The sequence below is a fragment of the Homo sapiens genome, chromosome 14 (assembly GCF_000001405.40).
Source record: "Homo sapiens chromosome 14, GRCh38.p14 Primary Assembly".
Lineage (NCBI taxonomy): Eukaryota > Metazoa > Chordata > Mammalia > Primates > Hominidae > Homo > Homo sapiens.
Genome location: NC_000014.9, coordinates 98878978 through 98900418, shown reverse-complemented (window position 1 = coordinate 98900418; position 21441 = coordinate 98878978). Strand labels below are relative to the sequence as shown.

At 48.1% G+C, this 21441-nt stretch overlaps 3 annotated features.

The window, feature by feature from the left end:
• Positions 3538-4133: an enhancer, noted in NCBI's record as "NANOG-H3K4me1 hESC enhancer chr14:99362623-99363218 (GRCh37/hg19 assembly coordinates)". NCBI's record gives its function as "activates a minimal SCP1, AML or CMV promoter by ChIP-STARR-seq in naive H9 embryonic stem cells {active_cell/tissue: H9 hESC(naive)}" and the evidence as "EXISTENCE:reporter gene assay evidence [ECO:0000049][PMID:30033119]".
• Positions 4134-4731: an enhancer, noted in NCBI's record as "NANOG-H3K4me1 hESC enhancer chr14:99362025-99362622 (GRCh37/hg19 assembly coordinates)". NCBI's record gives its function as "activates a minimal SCP1, AML or CMV promoter by ChIP-STARR-seq in naive H9 embryonic stem cells {active_cell/tissue: H9 hESC(naive)}" and the evidence as "EXISTENCE:reporter gene assay evidence [ECO:0000049][PMID:30033119]".
• Positions 14395-14901: an enhancer, noted in NCBI's record as "H3K4me1 hESC enhancer chr14:99351855-99352361 (GRCh37/hg19 assembly coordinates)". NCBI's record gives its function as "activates a minimal SCP1, AML or CMV promoter by ChIP-STARR-seq in naive H9 embryonic stem cells {active_cell/tissue: H9 hESC(naive)}" and the evidence as "EXISTENCE:reporter gene assay evidence [ECO:0000049][PMID:30033119]".

The following is a 21441-nucleotide window of genomic DNA, read 5'->3' as shown; positions in this document are numbered from 1 at the left end:
CCTGGGAGGCTCTGATGGGAGCAGGCACATCCCTGTTTGTTCATGTCCTTGGGGGCCGTTCCTGGTGGGGGGTAATGGTCCGCTGCTGCCCCAGCCCGAGTGCGGGAACCATGAGGGAGCGACAGATTAGACGCGATTCTGATGGCCATGGCGTTCGCCGTGAAGATTGCTTTCTGCATTTTTAAATAAAAAATTGTAATTCTCTTCTCACTGCACACACAAAAATGGGAAGTATGTGAGGCCATGGATGTGTTGATTAGCTTGATTGAGCCTTTCCTCAGTGTGTACCTACCTCAAAACATCAAGCTTCACACCAGCAAATATGTACGACTTTTATTTGTCAACTAAACGTTTAAATAAATACTTTTTAAAGTAATTTTGTTTCCTCTATTAATAAATCCCTTTCACCCAATAGGAGAGGCTGTGCGAGGTCCATGCAAAATGAAGGCATGCCTTCCGGCCCCTGTTGAAGGACTCTTGGCTTTGCGACAGAGCCGGTAGCATCTACCACTGCCAGAGAAGCCCTAGTTCACAGTGTCTTTCCAGGGAGCCCCTGGCGTGTACCGCCTCTGATTCTATCAGACACCAGCCACACTGCGAGGGTCATCACTCCTGTTTCACAGGGGAGGGAAATGATCAAGGTTGGTCTGTGTCCTTCCAAACCAGCCACCCATGGGTGTGGTTGGTGAAGACATAGCCGGAGCTGGCCCCTTAAGGTGTCTGGAAACGACACCAGGTACAAACGGTGCAGGCTGCAACTGCAGGGTCACCTGGAGAGGAAGTGTGGCGGCCGGCAGCACTGCCCTCAGGCTGTCACAGGGCAGAGGACACCGGGCTCCCCTGGCTTGTCTAGACGATGTCACACAAACAGACTTTCCCAATCCACGCTGCTGGGGTTGGGGGCAGGAATCATCCCCTGTTCTTGGAGGCATTTCCCCAGAGCATGGCCTTGTGAGAACATTCTAGCATTGGGGAGGGAGGTCAAATACAGTGGCTGCTCAGGCTTCTCCCCACTTTAAATTCCACATTGCACATCCACCACAGGCAGGACCCCAGCCTGAAGGTCCTCAAGCACCAGGCAGGCCCTGCCTGCATGAGAACCTCTTGCCACAGGGCATTCTCCTGGCTAAGCATTCCCCCTCCCCAGTCTTCTGGAGCAGACCCACTCCTGGGAGTGGGTAGTGCCTGGTGTCTTAGCATGGCTGTTCCCTCTGCAGCCGTGGGCAGAAGCATAAGGAAAACGTGAGGCTGAAGCCTCGCATGGGGAGGGTGGGGCGTGAAGTCAGGAAAGGGAGCCCACTCTGCAATTCAGAGTCCTGAGTGACAGTCCTGCCTGACCACTTTCTCACTGGCTGCCTGCATAAGTCACGTTGCCTCGCAGAGTCTCGGTTTCCTCATCTGTAAACTAGAGAGGACACAGAGGCCACCCTCACAGGCTGATGGGAGGTACATGTGAGATACAGCCCAGGAAAACGCTTTGTCAGCTCGGAAGGGCTGTCCTGATGCGAGCTATTATGAGACCGTCTTTGGAAAGCACTTAGCATGTCACCTTACTAAATGCCTAATAAATGTGAGCTATTATTATTATTATTATCATTATTATTACTACTACCGTGTTACAGTTTTGTCCTCGGGCTGTTCCACTTTGTGCAGAACCGTATGGCACCACCCTGCGCAGCCAATGATAATTATTACATAGGAACTTTTAACCTCAGTGCGTTCTTTGCTCTCCCCCGTGAGATATTAAATAATGCGTTGATGTGAAATGGATGCCAGTTCCTGGACGGCGGGGGCTACCTGGCGATAACTATCATTTGATGATAGCCTACTTTGTGCCAGGCCCTATTTGAAAGTGATGTTCCTAGAGTTTATTTCATTATTACAACCAACCTATGATGCAGGCACTCTGACTGCCTCCACTTTACAAATGAGAAGAGTGAGGCTCTGAGAGGGTCCAGAGCCAGGCAGTGTGGAGCTGGGACTTGAACTGGGCATTTGGGGCCAACACTTGTGCTCCTGTTATATTTGCGTGAGCCTGGGGCATGAGGAATTGCTAGTGGTTGAATTGTGCTAAATATATGAATTAATGACCACAGCCAGTCATGAGCAATAATGGAGGGGAAGAGTTGTGTACAACCCGGATGGAAAGAGTGTCTTGAAATCAACATGGGAAGTGGATTTGTACAAGGCTATGAGGATTGGGACAACCACGGGCTCCAAGACGTCAGGCCCACTCAGATTCAAATTCTTACTCAGTCCCTTCCTGGTCATGTAACAATGGATAAAAAAATCATGGGTTGGCAAGCTATGGCCTGTGGGCCACACCTGTCCTCCTGCATGTTTTAGTAAATACAATTCTATTGGAACACAGCCATGCCCATTCGTTTATGTATCGTCCATGGCTGTTTTTGCACTCCTGGATCAAGGTTGAGTATTTGGAACAGGGACCACTGGGCTTGCAAAGCTAAAATATTTACTCTCTGGCCCTTTACAGAATATGTTTGCTGATCCCTGGAGAGATGGTGACTTCTCTTGAATCTTAGTTTCTGCAGGAAAAAGCTAGCTGTGAGTGAGAGTATGAGATGACACAAGTGACCACGGATTATTTGAGACCTGTCAGTGCTGGTTCTTGGTAGGTGCTGATTAATGGTTGGATGATGTGGGGAAAGCCAGTGCACTGCCCAATGCCACAGGAGGCAGGAGAGAAGGGTGGTGAGTGGCAGACCAGCCTCAGGGAGAGGCAGACCTGGGTCCAGCCCTGACTCTGCTCCTTACCGGCTTGTGACCTTGGGCAAGGGGCTTCATCATTCTTGCACTTCGGTCTTCCCAGCTGTCAAGTGGGAATAAGAACAGCTTGTATCTCTATGGTTTCTGCCAGGATTCTCTAAGTTAATTGATAACAACAAATCACTTGGCAATAGTGAAAAGATACACAATAGCAAGTGTTGGTGAGGGTGTGGGGCAACTGGAACCCTCATCCGTTTCTGGTGGAACCATGAAATACTGCAGCCATTTTGGAAAACACTGTGGCAGTTTTTTAAAAAAGTTAAACATAAATTTACACAGCAGCAATTCCACTTCTAGATATCTATTCAGGAGAAATAAAAACACTTCTGCACAAAGACTTGTATGTGAATGTTCACAGCAGTATTATTCATCATAGCTTCAAAGTAGAAACAACCCAAATGCCCATCCATGGATTAATAGAGAAAGAAAATGTGTTACAGCCATCAATGGAATATTATTCAGCAATAAAAAGGAAAGAGATACTGATAATGCTACAAAAAAGTGGATCTCAAAAACATCGCCCTAAGTGAAAGAAGCCAGGCACAAAAGACCCCATATGGTATGATTTCATTTACATGAAATGTCCCGAGTGGGCAAATCCATGGAAAGAGAAAGTAGGTTCATGGTTGCTACGGACTGGGGACAGAGGGGAGTGGGACGTGACTGTATATAAGCCTGAGGGATTCTTTTGTGATGGTGCAAATGTTCTAAAATTGGATTGTGGTGATGGTTGCATAACTGAAAATTTACTAAATAGCATTGAATTGTACACTTAAAACGAGTACATTTTATGGTATGTAAATGAAACTGTTAAAAAAAAAAGTCCTTGGAATCATACGTGGTGCAGAATAAGGCGTGGTGGTGGCTGTCAGTGGTGTTAATTCCCTCCATTGTCTCTGGCTGGGGTTGAGAGATCTTTAAACCTGAAGTGTTGATCTAGGCCTGAGAATTCAGATGCAGATCCTCCCTGCAGCTTTGTTCTTCCACACCCAACCGCTTTGTCTGCTCTTATCTGTGTAACTTAGAGCCTCTGTTTTCTCTGTAAATTGCAAATTGTAACAATTCCCGAATCTGTGGGGGTGGTGTGTATGTGTTTTGTTTTACGTATTTACATATTGAACTGAATGTTTGCATTTCCCCCAAATTCATGTGCTGAAGCCCTCATCCCCTTTGTGGTGGTATTTGGAGACAGGGCCTTTGGGAGGGGATAGGGTTTGGATGAGGCCATGGGGTGAAGCATCCGTGATGGGATTAGCACCCTTATAAGGGAGTGAAGGGACCAGCACTTTCTTTGCCTGCCATATGAAAATGGCAAGAAAACGTCTGTCTGGACGGGGCATGGTGGCTCATGCCTGTAATCCCAGCACTTTGGGAGGCCGAGGTGGATGGATCGTGAGATCATGAGATCTAGACCATCCTGGCCAACATGGTGAAACTCCATCTCTACTAAAAATACAAAAATCAGCTGGGTGTGGTGGCGGGTGCCTGTAGTCCCAGCTACTTGGGAGCCTAAGGCAGAAGAATCGCTTCAACCTGGGAGGTGGAGGTTGCAGTGAGCCGAGTTCGCGCCACTGTACTCCAGCCTGGGTGACAAAGGGAGACTGTCTCAAAAAAAAAAAAAAAACAAAAAAAAGAAAGTGTCAGTCTGTAAACCAGGAGGCAATCCTTCACCAGGAACCCCACCATGCCAGCACCTTGTTCTTGGACTTCCAGCCTCCAAAACTGTGAGAAATATATGTTTGCTGCTGCAGACACCCAGTCTAAGGTGTTTTGTTATAGTATCCCGAACTGATGAAGACACATCTGAAATCTGGAAAGTGCTGGCACGTGATAAACACTCACATTTTCTTTCTCAGATGAACAAATGAATGTAGTGGCCATGATACTGCCCGTTGTTCATCTGACACAAATCTTCACTTTCTGTTCATGGAAAATGGACAAAATAAATAGTGTCCTTAAAGTTCAAAGACCAGGACCCTACTTCCAGCTCTGCCGCTAACCAGTCATGTGATCTTTCCCATCTGAGTCTTTTTCATTTTTATTTTTGGTCGCCCAGGCTGGAGCGCGGTGGCGTGATCTCAGCTCACTGCAACCTCTGTCTCCTGGGTTCAAGCCATTCTCTTGCCTCAGCCTGCCGCACAGCTGGGACTACAGTAGCCCACCACCACACCTGGCTAATTTTTTGTATTTTTAGTGGAGATGGGGTTTTGCCATGTTGGCCAGGCTGGTCTCAAACTTCTGACCTCAGGTGATCTGCCTGCCTCAGCCTCCCAAAGTGCTGGGATTACAGGTGTGAGCCACCATGCCTGGCCTCCCCTCTGAGTCTTTAAGGTCAACAAGGGCTCTTTGGCAAAATCCTGCCTGTCAGGACTTTGGAGAGCATCCAGTGCGATATGAGTAGCCCTGTGTTACCCCTGGGTGCATTGCATGGCTTTGGTTTGGTAGTCTCAATCCCAGGCAGCATGAGCTGCTCCCAGGAAAAAGATCTGGAGCTCAGGAAGGAGAGGGTCTAAGTGTAGAAGGACACCCAATGGGGATCCCAGAGCCCCCTGGGCCATGCATTAATTTAAGAGACTGGAGGCTCCAGCTCTGATGGGGGTCTGTCCTGAATGGGAAAGCTGAGGTTCCTCACGGGAGGTCACCCCTGCCAGCCCTCCCTGGGACATCTCCATGAGCAGGGACCATTGGAAAGCTCCTCCATGCTGGAAGTTCTCTTAGTTTGTGAGTCTGGCAGCTTGGTGTTGTTCAAAGGCTTGCCAAGCCCTGGAATAACCAAAGTTGAGCAAAGATAAGGAAGCAGGGAAGAGGCCTGGACCCACGCCAAGCTGTGTTGCATTTCAGCAGGAGCCGTGTTGGTCGGTTTTGATGGGAGAATCTTAAGGAGAGGCCAAGTACACCAGTACTCGGAGGATAGGTCCTCTCGCCCAGGCTGTTCCTGTCTCCTGAGCTGCTGCTGACTTCAGGCCAGTTTCTCCTTCCCCTGGAGCCTTGCCCCTTTCTTTGAGAAGAAGATGTTGATTGGAGCAGAAGTCTCCCACTGATGGCCAGGCATTTATTTTTATTTTACACATTTTTGGTGTCTGTAGTATGGCCATCACTTTTTTTTTAAAAAAAGCTGGCTTACTTGCTAATATATTAACATCATGAGGTTCTACTGAAAAAATCAGATTTTTGGCTTCCCTTTGAAAAAAAACCAACTGGTGCCACTTAGGCTGCTGGCATTTCAACACGGCCACAGGAAGGCAGAGAGGGCAGAAGCTGCTCCTCTCTCTGTCCCCCTTATGCCACAGTCTCCACTCACCCTTATAGCTCCCACTCTGGGCTGAATGCTAGTTGTCATTTATGGAAACATTAAGAGGAACAAAAGATATCTTATGTTCATGTGTTTATCGAAAGTGGGAAAATAAAAAATAAACTAAAGAAACAGGGTTTCAAGAAAGATAAGCTAAGTTTTTTGATGGAAGAGAAACATAGTCTCAAGCATCTATTAGGGCAGAAGTGTGTCCGTGGGGTTCTAAGGCTCACTCACATCCACTTGCCTTCCCTTCTGGGCTTGTTGGAGATTTATGATGTCCCACCCCTCTGTAATTAGGTAGAGACACAGGACTAATTTGAATTGGTTAGTAGACAGTGAATTGGTTAGGGCAGCTGGTTGAAGTGAAGCATATTACTTATGAGTTTAAGAATGTAATTGCTGGTCCAAGATTCCTGGCATTCTTTCTCTGCCTTGGTGTGTTCTAGCAGGTGCAGTTGCAAGGTGGTGGCCTTGGTCAGCCTGAGTGACTGTGTGAAGTTAAGCCTCCTCTGCCAACCTGTTTGGGCATGGTGTGAGTGCATTGTTTGTTATTGCAGTGCAAGCTATCTCATTCTGACTAATACAGTACCAAGAGATACACATTTCTGCTTCTGTCATTTATTCCACTTGCTTTTGAAATCAGACATTTGTACTTGGTCCCTCTGGATTTGATGGTCTGTAGCTCCTGTCTCCATTTGAATCCTCAGAGGATCACTCTATGCTCCACTGGATGGTGAACTCCTTGAGAGCAGGAGCTCCTTGAGCTAAGTCTTGTTATATATATATGCCTAGCATCTAGCAGTGGACCTGACACAGACGGCATGCTCCATGAGAGTTTGATGAATGAATGCCTGAACTCTGTCACTGGTCTGACCTGACATCTGGGCAAGTTGCTTTCCTTCTATTTCTTCAACTGTAAAATAAACGGAAGCAAAAGACTGGGTTGCCTCTGTTCTTCCCAGCTCTGGAAGTCCATACTCTGTGTTTAACCTCTGTTTCTATATGAGCTCAGATCCCAGGGAAAGCACCTGCCATGAGAGCCATCCGTGTCATTAGGAAATGGCCAACTACTTTAGGCACTTAGATGACTTGAATTTGAACATGCCCTTGCTGGACTCCCATCCCTGATGTCCACTTAAATGATGTTTTACTGAGAACTGACGAGGCCTCACTTCCTGGGACCTTTGATCTAATGGCATTTTTGCTTTGCTCAATTATAAATCTGCTACTCTCAGGACATGGGAGGTCTCGCCCATCATAAAATGATACCCACTCAGAAAGGACGATTGTAAAGGCTGAGCTCTGCTGCCAGGAGGCCCCAGTTGATGGAAATCAGCAGGCATGGTGCCCAGCACACCCCAGGGGAACGAGTGAGGTTGTGGCTCACTCTTCATCACCTTGGGATCCTGCTGTCCTGGTCCATGGCACCTAGTGACTCAGTGGCACCTCCTTTTCTCTACCTAGGTGGGACCAAAAGGAAGGCCTGCCTAATAAAGTGAGAAAGAGCAAAGGATTCGGAGTCAACCTGGGTGTCATCCTGGGTGTCATCCTGGACCCACCTTTTACTAACTGCCTAAACGGGGCTACAAATGTTTTCTGCATCTTATTAGGGCAGGGCCTCTCACTCTGAGGCTCTTTGTCCATCAGAATGTCTGTGGTTAGTCCTGACTTTGCCCCATGCTGTGTGGTCTCAGTCAAGTATACAACCTCTCATCTGTAAAGTTCTTGACCTAAAGAATGAAGTAGAACAATTGTTTTTATTTACTGGGTGCTTCATGTATGTCCAGCACCATATGGATGCTTTCCTGCATCTTATCTCATAATCCTGAAGATAACCCTATTGATCACAGTCAGGGTCACCCATATTTCACCATGGCACCTCGATTCTCCAGGCAAGAGACCGAAGCATAGAGGGACTAATAAGGCACCTGGCCTGGGAGGTCTCCCAGCTTGCATGGGGGTGGAGTGGGACCTGAAGCCTGGCAGGGGGACTCTGGGAACAGCCCAACTGGGCATGCCATGCTGCTCCCTGGGGTGTGGTAAAAAGAGCAATGGCTCCAGCTTTGGAAGAACGGGCTTAAACTTGTATTCTTGCACCTTCTTAGTTTGTGGGCAGGTCACCTAGCTTGGTTTTTGCAATTCCAAAGCAAGATCGGCATCCACTGTCTCCCTGGCTGGTAGAGGGACCTGATGAGGTCATGGATGTGGAAATGCCTCGTAACCAGTGGGCTGGGGAGCTGGGCATGTCCTCTTGTTGTTCTGAGATCCCTGCATGCTCCGTGATTTTCTGCTGTCTGTCCTCACTATCTACATCTGTCCGCGTCTGTCCCCAGCTTGTTTTCAGGGAGGGACTGGGGCTCAATCTGGGTTGCTCACCCTGGCCCTGAGGGCCAAGGGAAGAGTTCCTCTTTCCATCGCTGACGCAGAGACCCTGAAGAGTGGCTCTGGAGTAACTTGATACTGTTTTATGTGCAGATTCTTTAATCACTGCAGGAGGTAATAAATCCACGGATAAGATGTGACACATCTTATCTCACTCGTGAGAGGGAAAAGGAACATGGGAAGCAGAGATCCCATTGATCAGGGCCTAGGGTGGATGTCACAGGGAGGAAAAGGACACACAAAGCTGTTGCCTTTGACCTGCCCGTAGGATGCATGGAGGATGAGAGTGGGGAGAAGGTGGACAGGGTAGGTGGGTGTGACCACCAATGGCCTCGTGGGCCAAGATAGCTACAAAAACAAGAACAGTCGCAGCCAGTGCCTAGGATAGTGCTAGGCACACAGCAGAACCTCTGTGAAGGGCTGTGGAACACATGTGCTGGGTGCTGGCTAGGCTCCTCCCAGTTCCACTGATGTGAACTGCCCCATGGGATGTTGGGGTGCAGTCAGAATCAGTTTCCAAAAGCCGCTGCAGAAAGCGCGGTGGCTCTGCCCCCTAGTTACCCAGGTTGCTTTAACCTAAGCAAATATGCCGAGCACGGTTGCTGGATGCTTTCTTCCTTGGAAAACACACTTGGTAAATAAGAGCCTGTGCTATTATCTCAGAATGGGCCGAGTTTGTCTAAATATAGACATTTGATAATTACCCCTGGAAGCATTCGTTCTGGTGCAAAAACAGATCAACAACTCACTCCCTGTTCTGCTGTTCCTTCGCTTGGAAGAAGGAGTGGGCGGGCCTTCCAGGGCTTGTGTCAGCATTAGCTTCTTAAGAGCCCAGCAGTCTCTGCAGAGATTAGGGCTTCCCTTAACCACCAGTGTCGAGTCTAGGATCAAGCGTTTTCCCCTGCAGTGGAATCTTTTTCCCTTGAAAGGGGTATTAGGTAAACCAGTTACATGTTTCCAAACAGCTTTAAAAACAGAAGGCTCTTTCCTCTCCTTGTTATTTCTTTTCTTCTTCTGGTGAAATGAAAGCTAGTGTGGCCAACCTGGTTATAAAGGTAGTAAATCCAGTTGCACAATGAATTCCAGTCTGTACTCTTTTTTAAAAAAAAATTTCAATAAAGTCTACTTAGGGCCAACAGAATTTTTGACTTTAAGAAGCATGTAAAAGGGAGTCACCGTTAATAGGGTGAGCTCTTTGCTTTGGGATTAGGCCTATGTGACAGCGCCCGGGTCCCTTTATTCACTGGGATTGCGCCAAGAGAATGCTTTGTGCCGCTCTGAAAAAGATAGAATTGGGCGTTCCATTTATTCTATTGATCTTAATAACCTCATCTCATAAATACCTACTTTATGACATCAATAAAAAGGGATCGTGGCCACTCAGAACAATAGAAATGGTTACTTTGCAACTAAAGTGTTCCATTGAGTGCCTCAATGAAATTCCAGAGAGCAGAGCTGTCAAGAGATTTCTGTGCTGGCTTTTTAAAGTTCGTGCAGCAGGAGAGATTTCCACCTCTTTCCCTGAAAATACAAATGAACTGGGTGCTTAGGATCGCATGGTGCAGCCTCTTGCTTCTCAGGCATATTGTGATTTTTCTTCTCGTGTAACTCAGACTTAAGTTGTCATCTTGCAGAGTTACAGGGGTCTGCATTGGTCGACCAAAGGCTACCCAGTCAGCAGAATATCACGGATAATTGTCTGTTCACGGGTTGAGCACAAAGGATGCTTCACACGCAGTGGTACTTGAAGGTGCTCCCAACACTCCCACCTCCTCTGTTTTGTTCCTTCACTTTATGGAAGAAAAGCCTGAGGGTCAGAGAGGTGCCATGACGCTGATGCCAATCAAAGCCCATGGTGCTGGTCTCACAGACACCCAAGCTGCCACCGAATGGGGCTCATCTTAGAGCCAGGAGGCATGAGGTCTGTCAGCCCTGTTCTGGGGAGAAGCGGGCCTCGCCTGCCCTCCGGGGCTACCCGGGCCAGGGTTTAGCATCTGTCTCTCCTGTGGAGCTCCATCTCATTCCAGCAGGCCTGGATTTCAGCTGAGGAGTTGCATTTGAAGGGCTGCGCCAGCGTTCCTGGAATCCCCTCACAATGATAGGTTGGCTTCAGGCCTCCACTGGAAAGAACTCCAGGTCTAGAAGACAGTGAAGGAAAGGCAGGAAGGGGAATTGAGACTGGTTGAGTGCCAAGGCTGTGCCTTGTGAGAGAACTGAGGCATCCCGGCCAGCACAGCACCCACTGCCAGACGCGTGAGTGACACTGTCTTGGACCTCCCAGCCAGGCCAGTCTTCCAGGGCAGTGTGGCTGCAGGTGCTTCAGTGATGCCAGCAGAGGAACTGTGCAGCCAACGCATGGGATCAGAAGAAATTTGAGATGGTGGTTGTTGCAAGCTGCTAACTTCAGGGCCATTTGTTACATGGCAGAGGCTGACTGACGCGTCCTCCCATGCCACTCCCTCCCTCTGCCCTCTACACTCCAGCCCCACTGGCTTTCCTGCTCCTGCCTAAGGTCACTCAGGTCAGCAGTCCTCTGTGCCTGGCTTGCTCTTCCCCAGATCTTCTTGTTACTCAGGTTGTAGCTTAAACATCATGAGGCCCAGTCAGATTCCAGTCTTCACCACTGCATGGGGTGGGGGTGCAGCAACATTGTGTTGCATAGGAGCGGGATTCCTGCATCTGGAGGAATTCAAAGCCTTTAAGAGATGGGAATGAAAAGAGGTAGGAAGCTTTGAGAGCATAGCGTGTGGCAGCCAGGGCAAGAAGTTAGGATTGTATCTTACATGTGATGGCAGCCATCTGAGGGCTTTGAACAGGGCAGTGCCGTGACACAGTTTGCAATTTTAAAAGACAACTCTGTTTGATCTGCAAAGAATAAAGTGAGGGGCTGGGGGTAGGAGAGAGATCAGGGAGATCAGGTAGGAGATAAGGGCCAGGCTGGTTAATATGGGAGAATGATGCGCAGATTCAGAACATACTTTGGATACATGGGTGGATGACTTTGCTTCCAATCGTTTATTTCCCTCCTCTGCTTCCACACACACCCCTGGACTTCGCTGTTCCCTTGCCATAACTTTACCGCTTGCAAACTCCAGGCTGCAAACATCCTCTCCCTGACATCCACTCCTCTCTTTCCAGCTCCCTCTAGTATCCCCACCCCACCCTGGACCCAGATCCACTGGCTTGCGGTACTTAGTTAGTCACTTCCACAGTCTTCTACTCTCTCCCTTGTCCCTCACCCTCCAAGGTACTTGTCTGATAAAATGGCAACCTTGAAATACTCAGCACTGCCCCTCCTCTGGCTTGCACAGAAGCAGTTGCAAATTGCCAGGAAATAAGGCACCCAGCCATGCCCACTATGGACGGTGGAGAAGGCAGCTACATACATGCATTTAGACCTCCTGGCAGAGAGGCTGGAAATAGGGATTTGAGAGCCATCAGCTTATTGAGGGTCTTGGAAGCTGGGGTTGGGGCAGGGCTGGGCCAAGTCTGTGGGGAGTGGAGTTAGACAGGGAACCTGGGGTGGAGCCCAGGGGTACTTCATCTAGAAGAAAGGAGAGGAGGAGGAGGGAGCCAGGGGGATCCTCCCACCACCATCACCCCCCTGGATGCCTAGGAAGAAAGGAAGATGGGGCTGGGGACTTCCCCATTCGTGTGGGAATCAACCCGAAACCACCTGTCCTGCTCTCAAGCTGGTGAGCTCTCCTGGCAGGGCATGGCTCGAAAGCCTTGACTCCCGGTGAACTTCCTGGAGTAATTGACACAGCTGCCTGAGGCCCCCACAACAACGTCACAGCCTCAACTCCTCACTGTGATTTCAGTGCCATGATTTCCAGTTGGAATTTTTTTAAAAAAGAAAGAAGATAGAAGCCACACCATCCATACCGTCTAACTCTTGCTGGATCTTTGCTTTAATCTGGTTTTCTTTCTTTTTCTATTTCTTTTTCTTTTTTTTTTCTTTTTGAGGTGGAGTCTTGCTCTGTCACCCAGGCTGGAGTGCAGTGGCACGATCTCGGCTCACTGCAAGATCCACCTCCCAGGTTTGCGCCATTCTCCTGCCTCAGCCTCCTGAGTAGCTGGGACTACGGGTACCCGCCATCACGCCCGGCTAAATTTTTGTATTTTTAGTAGAGATGGGCTTTCACCTTGTTAGCCAAATGAGACTTTTCTAAATGCCGCTTATGTACACGAACTCATTCATCTTCACAATGGTTACACCCCATTTACACATGAGGAGACTGAGGCACAGAGAGGTTAAGTCACTGGGCTCCCATTCACACAGCAGTCATTCGAAACCAGGTCATCCTGCTGTAAAGTCCACTTGCGAGCAACAGCACAGGTGCCTCCTAAGAGTCTGTCCATCTTCCTGCTTGACTCAGAGATCATGGCGGGGGAAATGATGAGTTGGTGGCTGTGAAATGATGCATTGTATTGGAAACAGTGACTCTCAAATTGTTTATTTTTTTTAAGTGGCAGATTTATTTTTAACTTGACTCCAGCCTAAAGGAGGAAAGGGCAGCCCCTGGAAACTCAGTGACTTGTGAGGCTCACCTCTCTGCACTGTGGGGCAGGCCCTGGTCTGGGCCTCCATGCCCAACCTCTCTCCACCCTGGTGCCTTCACCCGTCTGTCACTGAGTGGTGTCTGGCAGCACCAGCCAGTCTCAATAACCTCCACTCCACCCCAGGCGCTGCCCTAGCCTTGCCTTCTGCCCCCTGCTCTGATCTCCTCCCGCCCCACCTTCCCTCCTCAGGGGACCTGTGCAGACTGGCCTCCAGCATTGCCTCCTCACGCACCTTGGCTCCCTGCTCACCTGGCAGGGCCCTCTGAGTCAGCCTGCCCTCCGCCCCCAGGCCAGAGTACCTCTCCAGCCTGCGGGCTCCCAGGCTTTCCTGGAGCGTGCCTGGCTCTCCCTGCAGCCGGCTCTGCTCACCCTTCCTCCCTCTTTCCCATTCTGCCCTTCCTGGTGTGGGACTCAGACCACTCGTCCTCAACCCTCTCCTCAGGGGACATAAGTACACCCTGTTTAGTCCTCTGGGCTCCTCTCTCCCTGCCCCATTCTTCTGGCTCCTGTTCTTTCATGTCTGGGAGGACGCTGGCCTCTATGGAGGAACTCACAGGGATCCACCATTGCTGGAAGCATGGAATCCAGGAGAAGGAGCCCAGTTATGTGTTTACTTGGCATATTATTCAATTCTTAGACCTACTGCCTGCTATATCCTGTCTACCTCTGGGCCTTTGCCGTTACTCTCTCCTGCCTGGAATATGCCCCCTTCCTGTACCCAGGCCAGGCCTTGGGTTCTACCCAGTTACCTCCCCACTCATCCTTCCTCTGTGGATTCAAATGCCCAGCCTCAGGGAGCCTGTCTGGGTTTGATTGCTGTTGCTGTTGGTACTGTTTTTCCCGTAGGTCCATCCTGTTTTCTGCCTTTTTGCGTGTCATGGCCGTGAATCCCCATGTATTTATTTGTGGTATTACTCCAAGCTCCAGGAGGGCAGAGAGTGTATCCCCTTCTCGTTACTACATCCTCCCGGCCTAACATGGGGCTTGGCTACTCAAGCAATGAAAGTAGAGTAAAAGGAAATTATCTGGGGGATTATGACATTTTGCTGTGTCCCAGGGCCTGCAACGGCAACTAAACACTTATATTTGTTGAAGAGAGAAAGAAAAGAAGGAAAAGAAGCAGGAGAGGGAGTGAGAAAAGAAGGACCAACAAGAGCTGTGTTTCCTGGTTTCCCTGTGTCCTGCAGTGCATGGGCAGAGCAGGGCTCTATGCGGGGCTGTGCCCAGTAGTGTCACTGGTTTCTGAGGCCAGAGCCCCAGCACGGGTGGGGACTGCTTCCTCTGTGGCCGAAGACCTGTGACACCTGCGTGTTTACAGCTGGCCCTGCAGCCTGTGGTCACCCTGTGGCAATCAGATGTGGTGGCCAGGCCGGCTTGAGCCTGTCCCACTGCCGGCCCACACGCCCGCAAGCCTGGCCCTTGGCTGGATGCATTCTATGTTCTGGGTCTGGTTTGGTCAGCCCAGATCTAGTGGTCCCTGGGAGTCTGCAAAGCTTCTTAATCTCACATCTAGCAAAGGACAGAATCATTTCCTTTCAAAGGACCACAATAGCACTCAAAGAGGTGGCCAGAGCATATGCGTATCTTCCTTTGTCCTGGCGGAAAGAGACAGGCCCTTCCCGCTTATTTCATTGACATAGACGGAAGGCCTCTGTTGTGGGCCTGGTCTTAGTGCTGGGGGCTGGGATTTGGGCCTGAAAAGACTCTGCCACTGCGATCACCCAGAGGAACAGCAGACTCCCTTAGAGCCCGCCCAGTGTGGCTTCCCAGGTGCAACGCAAAATGTGGCACAGAGGCTCTGGGAGCACAGAGATGGGCTTCTGGAGGAGGCAATGCCTGATGGCTCTTCAAGGGTGAAGAGGATTAGGAAAGAAAAAGAGAGAAGAAAATCCATTTGGAGGGAAGAGCATGAGCCAGCAGGAAGGAGGGATAAGGAGTCAGGGGTGGAGGGCTGTCTGCAGGCCAGCACAGAGATAACAAGAGGCCAGAGGCATTAGAAGATGACTTGGAGGGGTAGGCTGGAGTGGTCAGGAGGGCCACAGACTCCAGACCAATGAGTCGAGATGAGACTTTATCACTCAGGTTCATCAAAGAGTCTGGGACAAGGGAGTGATTGGTAAAGGGCATGATCTTGGAAGATTTCTCTGTTGGCCACAGGGTGGAGAAAGGGCAGAAGAGAGAAAGGAAAACCATTTAGGATGTGAGTAAGGCCATGAGGATTGAGAAGAAGGAGAGATTTGGAAGGAAAAGAAGGAGGTTGAAGGAATCAGTGTCAGAGCAGGCTGGACACGGAGGGTCAGGGAGATGACTGGTGAGTCTTCCATTTATAGTTGGGCTCTGTAGGCAGCCGCTTGAATTAATTTTATCACATCACTACTTTTTTCTGTCTTATCCTTAAGAATCTTTAGTCCCATAAGTTTGAAAAAAGAATCTTCTCTAAAGTGATGTATTAAAAAGGAATAAAATAAGTACATAAAGGGAATAAACAGGAAGCAACACACTGTTTCATTGTTGCAGAAGCTGTTGATGCTCCACTCCAACTAATGATGGATACAAGTTGGTGTATAAATACCCCAGCTCTCTCACCCCAGGGGTGTAACTCTCAGGTGTGCTCTATGTTGGATCCCAGAGTTCCCCAGTGGGCTTGAACTACCATTGCCCACAGTGGTTACTGACTTGATAATCTTTGCTTCCCTGCCTCACCTCACCTCTACCCTACTGAGATCACTCTTAGGGCAACCCAACCTGGGATATTCATATTCTAGAAGCTGCCCTCTCTCTGACAGACTGGCTTATTGCAGAGATCCTGAAGCCTCTCAAATGTTATCCTTTGTCCCTGTCCCTTCCATCTCAGTCTCTTTAGCTGCAGAAAGGGAATTGAAATACACTTCAGGAGCCCTAGAACTGGCTATTGAAATGATTTTTTCAAAACACTGGGCAGGAGAAGTGTATTAGTCAGCCCAGGCTGCCATAACAAAATATTGGAGACTAAGCAGATTAAACAACAGAAATTGATTTTCTCTAAGATCTAGAGGCTGGAAGTCTGAGGCCATGGAGCCAGCATGGTCAGGTTCTGGTGAGGGCTCTCTCCCTGTCTTGCAGACGGCTGCCTTCCTGTTGTGTTCTCACAGAGTGGAGAGTAACATGGTGGAGAGAGTCATCTCTCTCGTTCTCTCTCTCGTCCTTTCCTTTTAAGGCCACTAATCCCATCAGGTGGGCCTCATTGTCACAACTTAATCTAACCATGATCACCTGAAGGCCCTACCTACTGTATCATTACATTGGGTGTTAGGGCTTCAACATATAGATTTGGTGGGGGACACAAACATTAAGTTCATCACAGAAGGGAAGCAAGGAAATTCTTAAAATGAAACTTCTTTCTCCAGTGGCTGACCCTGTTTCCTTGGCTGAGAAGATATCTTTGTTCTCAGTGAGAAACCTAAGGCTGTGCTTTTGCCTAGAGTCACAGCCTCCAGACCTGCCCTCGTTTACGGCAAGCCTGGAAATGGCTCCATTTTTGGCAGCTGTGGCAGCTCCCTGGAGTTTCTCTTGTTTTTTACATTTTTTGATTTGTAAAATGTTTTTCTTCTTCTCTTCAGGGAGTCCTTTACTTTTAGTCACTGCTAATTTAAGATCTAGAAACAAAAAGAAATTAGGTAACAATCATTGAACATATATTGTGTGGTAGGTTATTTGCACGTATTTTTATAAAATAAATGTTAGCATAACCTGGCATGGAAGATTGTATTATTTAATTTAAGAGACCATATGGTACAAAATACTCATTTTATAGGTGGGGAAACTGACTCAGAAAGCCAAATCCTTGCTCAGATGCACACAGCCATTGAATGGAGGTTTCAGGATGCAAACTGCAGTTAGTCTGATGCTATGCCTGTGTTCTGCCAGTTTTAACCTGGCTGTGGCCAGAGTGACTGAAAGTGCATGGCTCCAGGTAGGTGACATGGTACTGTATAAGTTTTCTTGACCCATGGTTGGCTTCTTGAGTCAATGGATCAGAGATAGTTTCGAGGTAGACAGCCACATTTCTATGCCCCAAGAACACTCGAGATCCCTCTGCATTCTCTGCTGCTGTCTGATCACGTTTTTGTTTCAAGACAAGCAGCTCAAACTGTCCCACAGCTTAGCAAGCTATAGCTCATGGGCCAAATCTCGCCTATTACTTAAAAAAATTATTATATTTTTGTTTTTAAATTGGGGTAAAATGCACATAACATAAAATTTGCTATCCTAACAATATCTAAGTGGCATTAAGGACATTCACCTGGTTGTGTATCCATCACTACCATCCATCTCCAGAACTTTTCATCTTCCCAGTCTGAAGCTCTGTACCCATTATGCACTAGCTTTCACTTCCCTCTGCTCCCAGTCCCTGGCAACCTCCATTCTACTTTCTATAATTTGACTCCCTGGGAGCTTCCTAAAAGTAGAGAGACGCCGGCCGGGTGCAGTGTCTCATGTCTGTAATCTGAGCACTTTGGGAGGCCAAGGCAGGCAGATCACCTGAGGTCAGGAGCTCGAGACCAGCCTGGGCAATATGGTGAAACCCCATCTCTACTAAAAATACAAAAATTAGCAGGGTATGATGGCAGGTGCTTGTAATCCCAGCTACTTGGAAGGCTGAGGCAGGAGAATCACTTGAACCTGGGAGGCGGAGGTTGCAGTGAGCCGAAATTGCACCACTACACTCCAACCTGGGCGGCAAGAGTAAGAATCTATCCCTGACAAAAAAAAAAAAAAAAAAAAAAAGGAGTAGAATCATGCCATATTTGTCCTTTTGTGACTGGCTTATTTCACTCAGTCCCCAAGGTTCATCCATGTTATAGCATGGGTCAGACTTCCCTTCCTTTTTAAGACTAAATAGTATTCCATTATATAGATGTAACACATTTTGTTTATCCATTCATCTGTTCATGGATACTTGGGTTGCTTCCACACTTGACTGTTGTGAATAATGCTGCTATGAACATGGTACAGATATTACTGCTTGTTTTTATAAATAATGTTTTACTGGAACCCCAACATGTCCATTAGTTTACGTATTGTCCATGGCTTCTTTTGAGCTATAATGGTAGAGCTGTGTGTTTGCAACAGAGACCATATTCCCTCAATATTTACTATCTGGACTTTCGTGGAGAACTTTACAGAAGCAACTTGCCAACCCCTGAATTAGTGGGACCAGGCCCTGACCTGATCTTGCCTTGGCCTTTGAGCAAGGTACTTCCTGACCCTGGGACTCAGTTTCCTCATCTGTAAAACAAAAAGTTTGGGTTAAACTGGTTTTCAAGTTGTGCTTTCTGGATTCCTGGTGGTCCCCATTTGGCCCCAGAGTGGAGTTTATTGGGAGGAACAGATACTGGTGGGATAGGTGGTGAAGTCTGTAACTCACTAATTCATCCAGAGCTTCTTCCTTTTTATTTGTTTTATATCCCAGGGCAGACATTCTGCCCAAGGGCTCTGATATGGTTTGGTTGTGTCCCTACCCAATTCTCATCTTGAATTGCAGTTCTCCTTATCCCCATGGGTTGTGAGAGGGACCCAGTGGGAGGTAACTGAACCATGAGTGTGGTTACCCCCATGCTGGTATTCTCATGATAGTGAGTTCTCATGAGATCTTATAGTTTTATAAGGTAGTTTCCCCACTTTTGCTTGGCACTTCTCCTTGCTGCTGCCATGTGAAGAAGGATGTGTTTGCTTCCCCTTTCACCATGATTGTAAGTTTCCTGAGGTCTCCCCAGCCCTGCAGAACTGTGTGTCAATTAAACCTCTTTTCTTTATAAATTACCCAGTCTCAGGTATGTCTTTATAAGTAGCATGAGAACTGACTAATACAGCTTCCTTTGACCAAAAAGTTCTTTAGCTTTAGGAAATATATTGGGCTTGAGATTAAGAATGGTTCCCAGGTGGATCATGGGTGTCATGAGATTCAGGAAAAGCAAGTCAGCAGAGTGTATGAGTCCATTCTTGCATTGCTATAAAAGAATACCAGAGACTGGGTAATTTATAAAGAAAAGAGGTTTAATTGGCTCACCATTCTGCAGGCTCTACAGGAAGCATGGTGTTGGAATCTGTTTCTGGTGGGGTCTCAGGGAGGCTACAGTCATGGTGGAAGGGAAAGGCTGAGCAGGCACATCACATGGTGAGAGCAGGAACAAGAGTGAGGGAGGTGCCAGGCTCTTTTAAACAACCAGATCTCTTGTGAATCCAGAGTGAGAACTCACTCATTACTGCAAGGATGCCATCAAGACATTCATGAAGGACCTGCGCCCATCATCCAACCACCTCCCACCAGGCCCTACCTCTAACACTGGGGGTCACATTTCAAAATGAGATTTGGAGGTGTATTAGTTCATTTTCATGCTGCTGATAAAGACATACCCGATACTGAGCAATTTACAAAGGAAAGAGATTTAATGGAGAACTCATGGTTCCACATGGCTAGGGAAGCCTCACAATCATGGTGGAAGGCAAGGAGGAACAAGTCACATCTTACGTGGATGGCAGCAGGCAATGAGAGAGAGTTGGTGTAGGGAAACTTCCATTTTTAAAAAAACCATCAGATCTCATAAGACTTATTCACTATTGCAAGAACAGCATGGGAAAGACCTGCCCCCGTGATTCAATTACCTCCCACCAGGCTCCTCCCATGACACATGGGAATTGTGGGAGTTACAATTCACGATGAGATTTGGGTGGGGACACAGACAAACCATATCAGGAGGGAACAAACATCCAAGCCATGTCAGCGTGGGAGACCCAGTCCTCCAGGTTGGGGAGAATTTCTTTTTTTTTTTTTTGAGATGGAGTCTCACCCTGTCACCCAGGCTGGAATGCAGTGGCACGATCTCGGCTCACTGCAAGCTCCGCCTCGTGGGTTCACGCCATTCTCCTGCCTCAGCCTCCTGAGCAGCTGGGACTACAGGCGCCTGCCACCAAGCCCAGCTAATTTTTTGTATTTTTTTTTTAGGAGAGATGGGGTTTCACCGCGTTAGCCAGGATTATCTCGATTTCCTGACCTCGTGATCTGCCCACCTCGGCCTCCCAAAGTGCTGGGATTACAGGCGTGAGCCACCACTTCCGGTCGAGAATTTCCAGTGAAGATCGCAGCCACTCTCTGTTGCAGTATAGAGGAGGCCCTTGGAGTCCAGAAAGCACAGCACTTCTGGACTCCAGACTGGATTTTGTCATGGTACCAATCTTTGAAAGGCGGAGGAGGTATCTCTGAGGACTTGGGGCACTAAAGATTCCTCCAGGGCAGAGTGGACAGAGCAGTTGTCTCTAGACTCTTCCTCTCAGCTCCAGTGGAATTATTTGCTGTTAAAATAACAATGGGGTGAGGTTTCCTGATGTTCCAAATTATCCAACAGGAGACAAACACATCTTTGGCTCACTCACGGATGCAGACACCGCCCTACAGGTCTCCCGTGCCTTAAAGCCGTCTGGTTCCTTTCGGCCAGCACAATGCCTGCATGGTGCATTCTCATTCTCCTGCAGGCATACGAGGTGAATAGAAAAGAACGCCCCGGTCATACCATGAAATGAAAGAAGCCTCTGGACATATTTCCAAAACATTCTGGACATTGACTCCAAACGGACCTTCTGAGTAAATGCAATTTGGGATTTTCAGTGCATCCTCTAGCGTGTTATTTTATTTATTTTTTTGGAGGCTTGCAGATGTGAAGTGGTGATATTTGTGTTTTTCTTATCCTGGATTAGGCAGGAGAGTGTATCCACGCCTCTGCTTGGGGTGTTTATTTGCCAGTTGTGGGGGAGATTTGTGACATTCCAAGAGGAGTTAACCTTCAGGATTGTAAACCCTGCTGGCTACCCCTGACTATCAGCCATTTTCGGCTTCAAGGGCACAAACTGAGGAAGTGTCAGTGTCTGGTCTCAGGGTGGGTGATTGTGTATGTATTGAGGAGGAAATATGATTATCATTCCCATCAGAGGAAGCTGGAACTCAAGAGAAGGAAGGGCCTTGCTGGAGATAATAAGGTAATAAATCCTTATTATAATAATAACATATATAAACAAATCCATCATGGCAGCACACAGCCAGTAAGTGACAAAGGGACGTTTCTAACTTAGGTCCCCCATAGCTATTGCTGCCTGTCACCCCCAGCAGTCCTCTGCATCCTGCAACAGCTTCTGCTGGCCTGGGAGACCAGTGTTGATGAGCTTGGCCTTTCTGCTTTAAAGTATAGCTTCATCCAATCCACTCACCATCAATGACTTTTGGTGACTCTTTGGTTAAGAGTCTCTTGCCCCCCAAAGTGAAATGCCTCCTAGTGTCAGGTTTCCTAAGATTTTCTGAAATGATTTCATTTATCTCCAAGCTTGGGTTGGTGCTATGGGTGTGGCCCTCTTGGTACTGATATTCCTTCCTGTGACTCCTG